Source organism: Homo sapiens, chromosome 10, assembly GCF_000001405.40.
Source record: "Homo sapiens chromosome 10, GRCh38.p14 Primary Assembly".
In the NCBI taxonomy this organism is placed as follows: domain Eukaryota; kingdom Metazoa; phylum Chordata; class Mammalia; order Primates; family Hominidae; genus Homo; species Homo sapiens.
Genome location: NC_000010.11, coordinates 125,665,333 through 125,678,728, shown reverse-complemented (window position 1 = coordinate 125,678,728; position 13,396 = coordinate 125,665,333). Strand labels below are relative to the sequence as shown.

Below are 13,396 nucleotides of genomic sequence, written 5' to 3'. Positions count from 1 at the left end.
CTCAGCTGGCCCCCATGTGCAAGCACCACCTGCAGTCCTAGAGACTGGCCTGCCCAGCCCATCGCAACCACTGCCAACATCAATGCACACCACTCAGGACCCAAAAAATTATCCTGCCACTGCTACTGCCATCACCCATGCCACACCAGCTGCCTAGGGGCCTGAGAACCCACCCACCTGCCTCGTTCATTGCTGCCACTACTAGTATCAAAGCAAGCCACCGGGAGGCCCAAGAATTGGCCCACCAAGAACTGCCAAAACAGGTGCCAGCTTATACTACTCTGAGGCACAAAGATAGACATGCTCAGCCAACTGCTGCCACCAATGGGGCCTGAAGACTGACCTACCTGGCATCTCAGTCCCCAGCACAACTTCATCACAGCCTCTACTGTTAACCACACCCTAACACACTGAGGAAATCACAGGTACCACTAATTGTGGTTACAGACAAAGAAATCATATAAAGCCTGCATGACTACATGCATGCAGAATCAAAGCCAAAGTACTCTATCCAACTGACACCATGGAAACATCTTCAGGAAAATGTCCTCCCTTATAAAAGTAAATTTAAAAATAGGAAGAAGAGACTGTTACACCAGATGTGCAGATAGCAATGTAAGGACAGAATAAACATGAAAAAGCAAGGAAATACACTTCCAAGAGACAAAATAATTCACCAGCAATAGATCTTAATCAAAAAGAAATTTCCCAAATACCAGATAAAGAATTGAAAATATTCATTTTAGGGGCTGGGTGCAGTGGCTCATGCCTGTAATCCCAGCACTTTGGGAGGCCGAGGTGGGCAGATTATTTGAGGTCAGGAGTTGAAGACCAGCCTGGCCAACATGGTGAAACCCCATCTCTACTAACAATACAAAAATTAGCTGGGCATGATGGTGCATGCCTGTAATCCCAGCTACTCAGGAGGCTGAGGCAGGAGGATCAATTGAGTCTGGGTGGCGGAGGTTGCAGTGAGCCAAGATCGCACCACTGCACTTCAGCCTCGGCAATAGAGTGAGACTATGTCTCAAAAGAAAAAAGAAAAAAAAATTCATTTTAAAGAAGCTCAGTGAGATACAAGAGAAGGCTGAAAAATAATACAAAGAAATCAGAAAAATAATTCAGGATATGAATGAGAAATTTTCCAAGGAGAAAGATATTTAGAAAAGAAAAGAACCAAATAGAAATTCTGAAATTGAAGAACTCATGGAAGGAAATACAAAATACATTTGAAAATTTCAACAATAGACTTGATCAGGAAGAAGAATCTCAGAACTTGAAGACAGGTCTTTTGAAATAATCCAGTCAGACAAAAATAAATAAAAAAGAATTGAAAAGTATGAGCAAACTCTTTGTTACATTTTGGATAACATAAAGTGATCAAACATTTAAGTTATCAGGATCCTCCAGAGAAAAGAGACAAAGAAAAGATTAGAAAACCTATTTAACACAATAATAGATAAAAACTTCCCAAGTCCAGAAAGAGATCTAGACATTCTGGTACAAGAAATTCAACAGTCCCCAGGCAGATACAATACAAAAAGGTCTTCTCCATGAAATGTTATAGTCAGACTATCTAAAGTCAAAGATACAGAACAAATTTTTTAAAAAAGCAAGGGAAAAGCATTAGTCATCAATAAAGGAAACTCCGTCAGACTAACAATAGGTTTCTCAGCAGAAACCTTACAGGTCATAAGACAATAGGATGATATATTCAAAATGCTGAAAGAAAAAACTGCCAGTCAAGAATGCTATTTCTAGCAAAGCTCTCCTTTACAACTGAAGGAGAAATACAGTCTTTCCCAGACAAGCAAATGCTGAGGGAAGGACTTTTTTACCATTAGATTGACCTTTTGAGAAATACTCAAGGGATCCCTGGAAGTGAAAGGACAATATTTACCATCATGAAAACATACAAAAGTATAAAACTCACTCGTAGAACAATCACACAAAGGAGGAAGAGAAAGGATTCAAATTGTACCACTACAGAAATCCACCGAACCACAATGACAAGCAGTAAGATAAAAAGAAAGGAAGAAAGAAGATGTAAACAACAAGAAAACAATTTAATAACATGATAGGAACAAAGCCTCACATATCAATAATAACTTTGAACAGAAACCTTAAATTATCCATTTACAAGATACAGAATGGCTGGCTGAATGGAATTTAAAAAAAAAAAGATCCAACTATATGCTGCTTACAAGAAACTCACTTTGCCAGTAAAGACATATAGATAGACTGAAAATAAAGTCATGATAAAAAGATATTCCATGCAAATGGAAAACAAAAGTGCACAACAGTAGCTGTACTTAGATAAAACAGTCTGTAAGTCAAGAACAGTAAAAAAAATACAAAGAAGGTCATTATATAATGATAAATGGATCAATCCAGCAAGAGGATATAACAGTTCTAAATATATGGCTATCCAACACTGGAGCACCCAGATTCATAAGGCAAATATTATTAGATCCAAAGAAATGGACTGCAATGCAATAATAGTGGAAGTCTTCAATTCCCTACTCCCAGCATTAGACAGACAATCTAGACAGTAACTCAACCAAGAAACACTGGATTTAAACTGAACTTTAGGCCAAATGGACCCAACAGACATTTACAGTTCATTCTATCAAACAACTGGAGAATATACATTCTTTTCATCAGCCTATGGAACATTCTCCAGGATAGACCATATGTCAGGCCACAAAACAAGTCTCAGCAGTTTAAAAAAATTAAAGTCATTACATATCTTCTCAGACCACAGTAGAATAAAACTAGAAATCAATACCAGGAGGAACTTTGGAAACTATGCAAATACATAGGAATTAAACAACATGCTCCTGAATGACCCCTGGGTCAATGAAGAAATTGGGATAAAATTAGTGGGGAGGGGCCAAGATGGCCAACTAGAAACAGCTGTGGTTGGAGGTTCCTACTGAGAAGAATGAAAATGGTGAGTGAATCCTGCACTGGCAACTGAGGTATCCTGATTCTGTCAGAGACTGACTAGGTGGTTGGCATGACCCACAGAGAGTGAGGAAAAGTAGGGTGGTGTGTCTGCCCACCTGGGAGCCACATGGGGTTGAGTTCCCACCCCCAGCCAAGAAGGGTGGTGAGTGATCATCTTGCCCTGCCCTGGAAACCATGCTTTATCCATAGATCTGTGCAACCCATGGATCAGGAGATCCCCCTCATGAGCCCACACCACCAGGGCCTTAGGTCCCAAGCACAGAGCTGTGCAGATTCTCAGCAGCCACTTGGTGGGGACTGCCTAAGACTACCGAGTTCCTGGGGGGAGGGGTGGCCATCATCACCGTGGGTGCCTGCTGCCTAAGACGACTGAACTCCCCAGGAGAGGGGCAGCTGTCATCACTGTGGCTGCCTGCTAAGACAACTGAGCTCCCAGGGGGAGGAGTGGCCACCATTGCTGTAGCTCCAGTCTGCCATTTTTACCCTGCTGGTGCTGGAGAGACTGGACCATGTGGACCCAGGAGGAATTTCCCACAGCACAGCATAGCAGCTGTGGCAGATCGTGGCCAGACTGCCTGTTTAAGCTGGACTCTGGTCCATCCCTCTTCACTGGATGAGGACTCCCTGCATGAATTTCAGCAACTCCAGCCAGGGGTTTAAGGACAGAACTCTTGTCTCCCTGGGACTGAACCCCTGTGGGGAGGGGTGGCTATGGTCTCCCTGGATCAGCAGACTTAGTCTTCTCCCCTGCTGGCTCTAAGGAACCTGGGCAATCTGGATGAGCGGAGATTCCCCCAGCTCAATGCACCCACTTTGCCAAGGGGCAGCCAGAGTGCTTCGTTAAGCAGGGCCCTGGTTCCCATGCCTCCTGACTGGGTGAGACCCCTCAGTCAAGTTACACAGGAGTGTTCCTGCTGGTATCAGGTCAGTGTCCCTCTGGGACAGAGATCCCAAATGAAGGAGCAGGCTGCCACCTTTGCTGTTCTGCAGCCTCCACTGGTGGTAATTCCAGGTGCCAGAGGGACCCAGGCAAATAGGGTCTGGAATGGACCTCCAGCAAACTGCAGCAGTCCTGTGGAAGATGGGCCTGACTGTTAAAGGAAAGACAAACAGAATGCAACAAAAACAATAGCATCAACAAAAAAGTCCCTGTAAAAATTCCATCCAAAGGTCAGCAGCCTCAAAGATTGAAGCTAGAAAAACTCACAAAAAGGAGAAAGAATTAATGAAAAAATGCTGAAAACTCAAAAAGTCAGAGTGCCTTTTATCCTCTAAATGATGGCAACACCTCTCCAGCAAGGGCACAGAACTGGGCAGAAGCTGAGATGGATGAATTCACAGAGGTAGGCTTCAGAAGGTGAGTAATAACAAACTTCACTGAGCTAAAGGAGCATGTTCTAACTCAATGCAAAGAAGCTAAGAACCATGATAAAACATAACAGGAGCTGTTAATCAGAATAACCAGTTTAGAGAGGAACATAAATGATCTGATGGAGCTGAAAAACTCAACATGAAAACGTCACAATGCAACCACAAGTATCAATAATTAAATAGACCAAGAAGAGGAAAGAATTTCAGAGCTTGAAGACTGTCTTGCTGAAATAAGACAGGCAGACAAGAATAGAGAAAAATGAATGAAAAGGAATGAACAAAACCTCTGAGAAATATGGGATTATGTAATAAGACCAAACCTATGACTGATTGGGGTAACTGAAAGAGACAGAGAGAACAGAACCAAGTTGGAAAACGTACTTCAGGATATCATCCAGAACTTCCCCAACCTAAAAAGACAGGTCAACATTCAAATTCAGGAAACACAGAGAGCCCCAGTAAGATATTCCACAAGAAGATCAACCCCAAGACACATAATCATCAGATTCTCCAACGTGGAAATGAAGGAAAAAATGTTAAGGTCAGCCAGAAAGAAAGGCCAGGTCACTTACAAATGGAAACCCATCAGACTAAGGGCAGACCTTTCAGCAGAAACCCTACAAGCCAGAAGAGACTGGGGGTCAATATTCAACCTTTTTTTTTTTTTTTTTTTTTTTGAGAGAGAGTCTCTCTCTCGTCGCCCAGGCTGGAGTGCAATAGTGTGATCTTGGCTCACTGCCACCTCCACCTCCTGGGTTCCATTGATTCTCCTGCCTCAGCCTCCTTAGTAGCTGGGATTACAGGCACCTGACACGATGCCCAGCTAATTTTGTATTTATAGCAGAGACGGGGTTTCACCATGTTGACCAGGCTGGTCTTGAACTCCTGACCTCAAGTGATCAGCACACCTTGGCCTTCCAAAGTGCTGGGATTACAGGCATAAGCCAGTGCCCAGCCTCAACATTCTTAAAGCAAAAAATTTCCAACTCAGAATTTCATATCTGGCTAAACTAAGCTTCATAAGTGAAGGAAAAATAAAATCCTTTTCAGACAAGCAAATGCTGAGGGAATTTGCCACCACCAGGCCTACCTTGCAAGAGCTCCTGAAGGAAGCACTCAATATAGAAAGGAAAAACCATTACCAGCCACTGAAGTACAAAGACCAATGACACTATGAAGAAACTACATCAACAAGTCTGCAAAAATAACCAGCTAACATCATGATGACAGGATCATATTCATAGATAACATTAACCTTAAATGTAAATGGGCTAAATGCCTCAATTAAAAGACACAGAATGGACAGCTGGATAAAGAGTCAAGACCCACTGGTGTGCTGTATTCAAGAGACCCATCTCACGTGCAAAGACACACATAGCCTCAAAATAAAGAGATGAAGGAAAATTTACCAAACAAATGGAAATCAGAAAAAAACAGGGGTTGTGAGCCTAGTTTCTGGACAAAACACACTTTAAACCAATAAAGATCAGAAAAGACAGAGAAGGGCATTGAATAATGGTAAAGGGATCAATTCAACAAGAAGAGCTAACTATCCTAAATATATATGCACCCAATATAGGAGCACTCAGATTCATAAAACAAGTTCTTAGAGAACTACAAAGAGACTTAGACTCCCCACAATAATAGTGGGAGACTTTTACACCCCACTGTCAATGTTAGATCATTGAGACAGAAAATTAACAAGAATACTGAAGACTCAAACTCAGCTCTGGATCAAGGGGAACTGATAGATACCTACAGAAGTCTCCATCCAAAAAGAACAGAATATACATTCTTCTTGGTGCCACATGGCATTTACTCTGAAACTGATCACATGATGGGAAGTAAAACACTCCTCGGCAAATGCAAAAGAAGTGAAATAATAACAAACTGTCTCTCAGACCACAGTGCAGTCAAATTATAACTCAAGATTAAGAAACTCACTCAAAACCACACAACTACATGGAATTTGAACAATCTGCTCTTGAATGACTCCTGGAAAAATAATGAAATTAAGGCAGAAATCAAGTAGTTCTTTGAAATCAATGAGAACAAAGAGACAATGTACCAGAATCTCTGGGACACAGCTACAGCAGTGTTAAGAAGGAAACTTATAGCACCAAATGCCCACATCAAAAAGCTAGAAAGATCTCAAATTGACACACTAACATCACAACTAAAAGAACTAGAGAACTAAGAGCAAATGAACCCCAAAGCTAGCAGAAGACAAGAAATAACCAAGATCAGAGCGAAACTGAAGGAGATAGAGATACAAAAAACATTTCAAAAAAAATCAATGAATCTAGGAGGTGGTTTTTTTGAAAACATTAATAAAATAGACCACTAGCTAGACTAATAAAGAAGAAAAGAGAGAAGAATCAAATAGACACAATGAAAAATGATAAAGGGGATATGACCACTGACCCCACAGAAATATAACCAAACATCAGAGAATATTATGAACACCTTTATGCAAATAAACTAGAAAATCTAGAAGAAATGGATAAATTCCTGGACACATGCATTCTCCCAACACTAAATCAGGAAGAAGTTGAATCCCTGAATAGACCAATAACAGTTCTGAAATTGAGGCAGTAATTAATAGCCTACCAACCAAACAAAGCTCAGGACCAGATGGATTTACAGCTGAATTCTACCAGAGGTACAAAAAAGAGCTGGTATCATTTCTCCTGAAACTTTTCAGAACAATTGAAAAGGAGGTACTTCTTCCTAACTCATTTTATGAGGCCAGCATCATTCTGATACCAAAACCTGGCAGAGACACAATAAAAAAAGAAAACTTAAAGCCAATATCCATGATGAACATTGATGCAAAAATGCTCAATAAAATACTGGCAAACTGAATCCAGCAGCACATCAAAAAGCTTATCCACCATGATCAAGTCAGCTTCATCCCCAGGATGCAAGGCTGGTTCAATGTATGCAAATCAATAAATGTAATTCATCACATGAACAGAACTAAAGACAAAAACCACATGATTATCTCAATAGACATAGAAAAGACCTTTAATAAAATTCAACATCCCTTCATGTTAAAAACTCAATAAACTAGGTACTGATGGAACATACGTCAAAATTATAAGAGCCATTTATGACAAACCCACAGTGAATGTCATACTGGATGGGTAAAAGCTGGAAGCATTCCCCTTGAAAACCAGCACAAGACAAGGATGACCCCTCTCACCATTCCTATTCAACAAAGTATTTGGAAGTTCTGGACAGGACAATCAGGCAAGAGAAAGAAATAAAGTGTATTCAAACAGGAAGAGAGGAAGTCAAACTGTCTGTTTGCAGATGGCATGATCCCATATCTAGAAAACCCCATAATCTCAGAAAAAAACTGGAGGCATCATGCTACCTGACTTCAAACTATACTACAAAGCTAGAGTAACCAAAACAGCATGATACTAGTACAAAAACAGACACATAGACCAATGGAACAAAATAACTCAGAAATAAGACTGCTCATCTACAACCATCTGATCTTCAACAAACTTGAAAAAAACAAGCAATGGGAAAAGGATTCCCTATTTAATAAATGGTGCTGGGAGAACTGGCTAGTAATATGCAGAAAATTGAAACTGGACCCCTTCCTTATGCAACAATTAACTCAAGACAGACTAAAGACTGAAATGTAAACCCCAAAACTATAAAAACCCTAGAAGAAAATTTAGGCAATACCCTTCAGGACATAGGAAAGGGCAAACAAATATTACATGATTAAAATGTCAAAAGCAATTGCAACAAAAGCAGAAATTGACAAATTGTATCTAATTAAACTAAAGAGCTTCTGCACAGCAAAATAAACTATCATCAGAATGAACAGGCAACCTACAGAATGAGAGAAATTTTTTGCAATCTATCCATCTCATAAAGGTCTAATAACCAGAATCTGCAAGGAACTTAAACAAATTTACAAGAAAAAAACCCCATTAAAAAGTGGGCAAAGGACATGAACAGATACTTCTCAAAAGAAGACATTTATGCGGCCAACAAACATATGAAAAAAAGCTCAGCATCACTGATCATTAGAGAAATGCAAATCAAAACCACAATGAGATACCATCTGATGCCAGTCAGAATGGCAATTATTAAAAAGTCAAGAAACAACAGATGCTAGTGAGGCTATGGAGAAATAGGAATGCTTTTACGCTATTGGTGGGAATGTAAATTAGTTCAACCATTGTGGAAGACAGTGGGTGATTCCTCAAAGACTTAGAACCAGAAATACCATTTGATCCAGCAATACTGTTACTGGGTATATACCCAAAGGAATAGAAATCATTCTATTATAAAGATACATTCATGCGTATGTTCTTGCAGCACTATTCACAATAGCAAAGACATGGAGTCAACCCAAACATCCATCAATGATAGACTGGATAAAGAAAATGTACATGTACACCACGGAATATTATGCAGCCATAAAAAGGAATGAGATCATGTCCTTTGCAGGAATCTGGATGGAGCTGGAGGCCATTATCTTCAGCAAACTAAGACAGGAACAGAAAACCAAACACTATCACGTTCTCACTTATAAATGGGAGCTGAACAATGAGAACACATGGACACAGGGAAGGAAACAACACACACTGGGGCCTGTTACGGGGGGTGTGGGAGGGAGAGCATCAGGAAAAATAGCTAATGCATGTGGGGCTTAATACCTAGGTGACAGGTTGATAGGTGCAGCAAACCACCATGGCACACTTTTACCTATGTAACAAGACTGCCTCTCCTGCACTTGTATCCCAGAACTTAAAATAAAGTTAAATAAATTTTAAAAAGATAAAAATTTAAAAAATTCTTAAAACAAATGAAAATGGAAACTCTACATACCCAAACCTTTGGGATACAGCAAAAGCCGAGGAATTTTTCTTTTTTTTTTTGAGACAAAGTTTCACTCTTGTTGCCCAGGCTGGAGTGCAATGGCATGATCTTGGCTCACTGCAACCTCCGCCTCCCAGGTTCAAGTGATTATCCTGCCTCAGCCTTCCGAGTAGCTGGGATTACAGGTGCCTGCCACCATGCCCAGCTAAGTTTTGTATTTATTTATTTATTTTATTTATTTATTTTTTTTGAGATGGAGTCTCACTCTGTTTCCAGGCTGGAGGGCAGTGGTGCGATCTCTGCTCACTGCAACCTCCGCCTCCTGGGTTCAAGCAATTCTCCTGCCTCAGCCTCCCGAGTAGCTGGGACTACAGGTGCACACCATCACACCCAGCTAATTTTTGTACTTTTATTAGAGACAGGGTTTCACCATGTTGGCCAAGATGGTCTCGATCTCTTGACCTCGTGATCTGCCTGCCTCAGCCTCCCAAAGTGTTGGGATTACAGGCATGAGCCACTGCACCTGGCAACTTTCGTATTTTTAGTAGAGACAGGGTTTCACCATGTTGGCCAGGTTGGTCTTGAACTACTGACCTCAGGTGATCCACCTGCCTCAGCCTCCCAAAGTGCTGGGATTACAGGCGTGAGCCACCGTGCCCGGCCAAGCAGAGGAAAATTTATAGCAATAAATACCTACATCAAAAATGGTAGAAAGATTACATAAATTAACTATCAACAATGCACTCCAAGGAACTAGAAAAGCAAGAATAAACCAAACCCAGCATTAGCAGAAGAAAAGAAATAATAAAGACCAGAGCCAGAACTAAATGAAATAGAGACTAAAAGAAAATACAAAGGATCAATGAAATTAAAAGTTGATTCTTTAAAAAAGAAAAACAAAATTGATAAACTCCTTGCTAGACTAGCCACAAAAGAGAAAACCCAAATAAACAAAATCAGAAATGAAAGAGGAGACATTACAAGTAAGACCACAGAAATATAAAAGATCTGTGGAGATCTTTTATTAAATAAAAAGTTGGAGATCTTTTTTTAAATAAAAAAGTTGGAGACTACTGTGAACAACTATATGCTGACAAACTGGGAAACCCAGAGGAAATAAATAAATTCCTGAAAACATACAACCTACCAAGATTGAATCAGGAAGGAATGAAAATCTGAACAGAGCAATGCTGAATAGTGAGACTGAATCAGTAATTAAAAAAAAAAAATCTCCCAACAAAGAAAAGTCCAGAACTGGTTGGATTCACAGCTGAATTTTACCAAACAAAACCCAAATACCAATTGTCTTGAAACTATTTCAAAATATTAAAGAGGAGGGAATTCTCCCTAATTCATTCTATGAGGCCAACCAGCATCACACTGATACCAAAACCAGAGATAGACACAACAAAAAAAAGACAACTACAGGGTATGCAGAGGTGCCCCAACCACACTCTGTCCACAGACTCTCAGTTATTTTAGGAGATCCCTGGCCAAAGATTTATTTCTGTTGACAACCAAGGGCCTCCGTCTGGATTTCCAAGGAAGAAATTTCCTTTGAAGCACTGGAACTTGCCACCACCAGCACCATGCCCTACCGATATCCAGCATTGACCCTGGAGCAGAAGAAGGAGCTGTCTGACATCGCTCACCGCATCGTGGCACTGGGCAAGGGCATCCTGGCTGCAGATGAGTCCACTGGGAGCATTGCCAAGCGGCTGCAGTCCCTTAACGCCGAGAACACCAAAGAGAACTGGCGCTTCTACTGTCAGCTGCTGCTGACAGCTGACGACTGCGTGAACCCCTGCATCGGGGACGTCATCCTCTTCCACCAGACACTCTACCAGAAGAAGGATGATGGGCGTCCTTTCCCCCAAGTTGTCATGTCCAAGGGTGGTGTTGGGGGCAGCAAGGTAGACAAGGGCGTGGTCTCCCTTGCAGGGACAAATGGCGAGACCACCACCCAAGGGTTGTATGGGCTGTCTGAGTGCTGTGCCCAGTACAAGAAGGATGGAGCTGACTTCACCAAGTGGCATTGTGTTCTGAAGATTGGGGAACACACCCCCTCAGCCCTTGCCGTCATGGAAAATACCAACGTCCTGGCCTGTCATGCCAGCATCTGCTAGCAGAGTGGCATTGTGCCCATTGCGGAGCCTGAGATCCCCCCTAATGGGGACCATGACTTGAAGCACTGCCAGTGTGTGACCAAGAAGGTGCTGACTGCTGTCTACAAGGCTCTGAGTGATCAACACATCTATCTTGGAGGGCATCTTGCTGAACCCCAGCATGGTCACCCCAGGCCATCCCTGCATCCAGAAGTTTTCTCACGAGGAGATTGCCATGGTGACTGTCACAACGCTGCACCGCACAGTGCCCCCCGCTGTCCCTGGGATCACATTCCTGTCTGGAGGCCAGAATGAGGAGGAGGCATCCATCAACCTCAACGCCATTAACAAGTGCTCCCTGTGACCTTCTCCTATGGCCGAGCCCTGCAGGCCTCTGCCCTGAAGGCCTGGGGCAGGAAGAAGGAGAACCTGAAGGCTGCCCAGGAGGAGTCAAGTGAGCCGTGGCCAACAGCCTGGCCTGTCAAGGAAAGTACACCCCAAGCAGTGAGACTGGGGCTGCTGCTAGAGAGTCCCTCTTCATCTCTAACCATACCTACTAAGTGGAGGTGTTCCCCGGCTGTTCCCAACACTCCAGGCCCCGCCCCTACTCTCTTGAAGAGCGGGCCTTCTCCTCAGGTCTCCAGGTTGGCTTGCCCGTGCTCTTGCCTCCCTCGTGACAGTGGTGTGTGGTGTCGTCTGTGAATGCTAACTCCATCACCCTTTCCAGCACACTGCCAATAAACAGCTATTCAAGGTTGGAGGAGGGGGGGCGGGGAGAGAACTACAGCCAGTATCCCCAATGAACATAGATACAAAATTTCTCAACAAAATACCAGCAAACTAAATGCAACAGCACATCAAAAAGACAATATACCGTGATCAAGTGGGATTTATAGCAGGGACGCAAGGATGCTTCGACACACACAAATCCGTAAACATGACACATCACACCAACAAAATGAAGGACAAAAACCATATGATTATCTCAATAGGCACAGAAAAAGCATTTGATAAAATTCAACATCGCTTTATGATAAACACTCTCAACAAACTAGACATAGAAGGAACATAACTCAAAATAACAAAGACCATATACAGCCAACCCACAGCTAACATCATACTGAATGGAGTAAAGTTGAACGCCTTTGCTCCAAGAACTGAAACAAGACAAGGATTCTCACTTTCACCATTCCTATTCAACATAGTACTAGAAGTCCTAGCCAGAGCAATCAGTCAAGAGAAAGAAATAAAAAGCATCCAAATTGGAAAAGAAGAAGTGAAACTGTCTCTTTTTGCTGAGGACATGATATTATATCTAGAAAAACCTAAATACTCTACCAAAAAAAACCCCACTTAGATCTGATAAATATATTCAGTAAAGTTGCAGGATACAAAATCAACATACAAAAAGCAGTAGCTTTTATATATATCAGCAATGATCTAGCTAAGAAGGAAATCAAGAAGGCAATTTCATTTATAATAGCTACAAAAATATATAAGAATAAATTTAACCAAGGAGGTAAAATATCTCTATAAGAAAAACTATAAAACATTGATGAAAGAAATTAAAGATGACACAAACAAATGGAAAAATATCTCATGCTCCTGCGTCGGAATACATCATTAAAATGACCATATTGCTTAAAGCAATCTACAGGTTCAATGCAACCTCTATCAAAATACCAATGTCATTCTTCACAGAATTAGAAAAAACAATCTTAAAATTCATATGGAATAAAAAAGAGCCAGAATAACCAAAGGAATCTTGAGCAAAATGAACAAAGCTGGAGGCATCACTTATTACAAGACTATAGTAACCAAAACAGCATGGCATTTGTATAAAATTAGACACACAGACCAATGGAACAGAATAGAGAACCCAGAAAACTGATCTTTGACAAAGCCAATATGAACTTATATCGGGGAAGCAGCACCCTGTTCAATAAATGGTACTGAAAGAATTGGATAGCCACATGCAGAAGAAAGAAACTGGACACCTATATCTCACCATATAAAAAAATCAACTCAAAATGAATTGAAGACTTAAATATAAGATCTGAAACTGTAAAAAACACTAGAAGAAAACCTAGAGAAAACTCTTC

The 13,396-nt window shown here is 41.3% G+C and overlaps 1 protein-coding gene and 1 pseudogene across 3 annotated transcripts in view; both read left to right on the top strand.

Annotated features, from left to right (window-relative positions):
- Positions 1-13,396, top strand: part of TEX36 (testis expressed 36) — a 106,642-nt gene that overhangs the window by 4,435 nt on the left and 88,811 nt on the right. The gene's annotated exons all lie outside the window — the stretch shown is intronic.
- Positions 10,673-12,049, top strand: ALDOAP2 (ALDOA pseudogene 2; annotated as a pseudogene).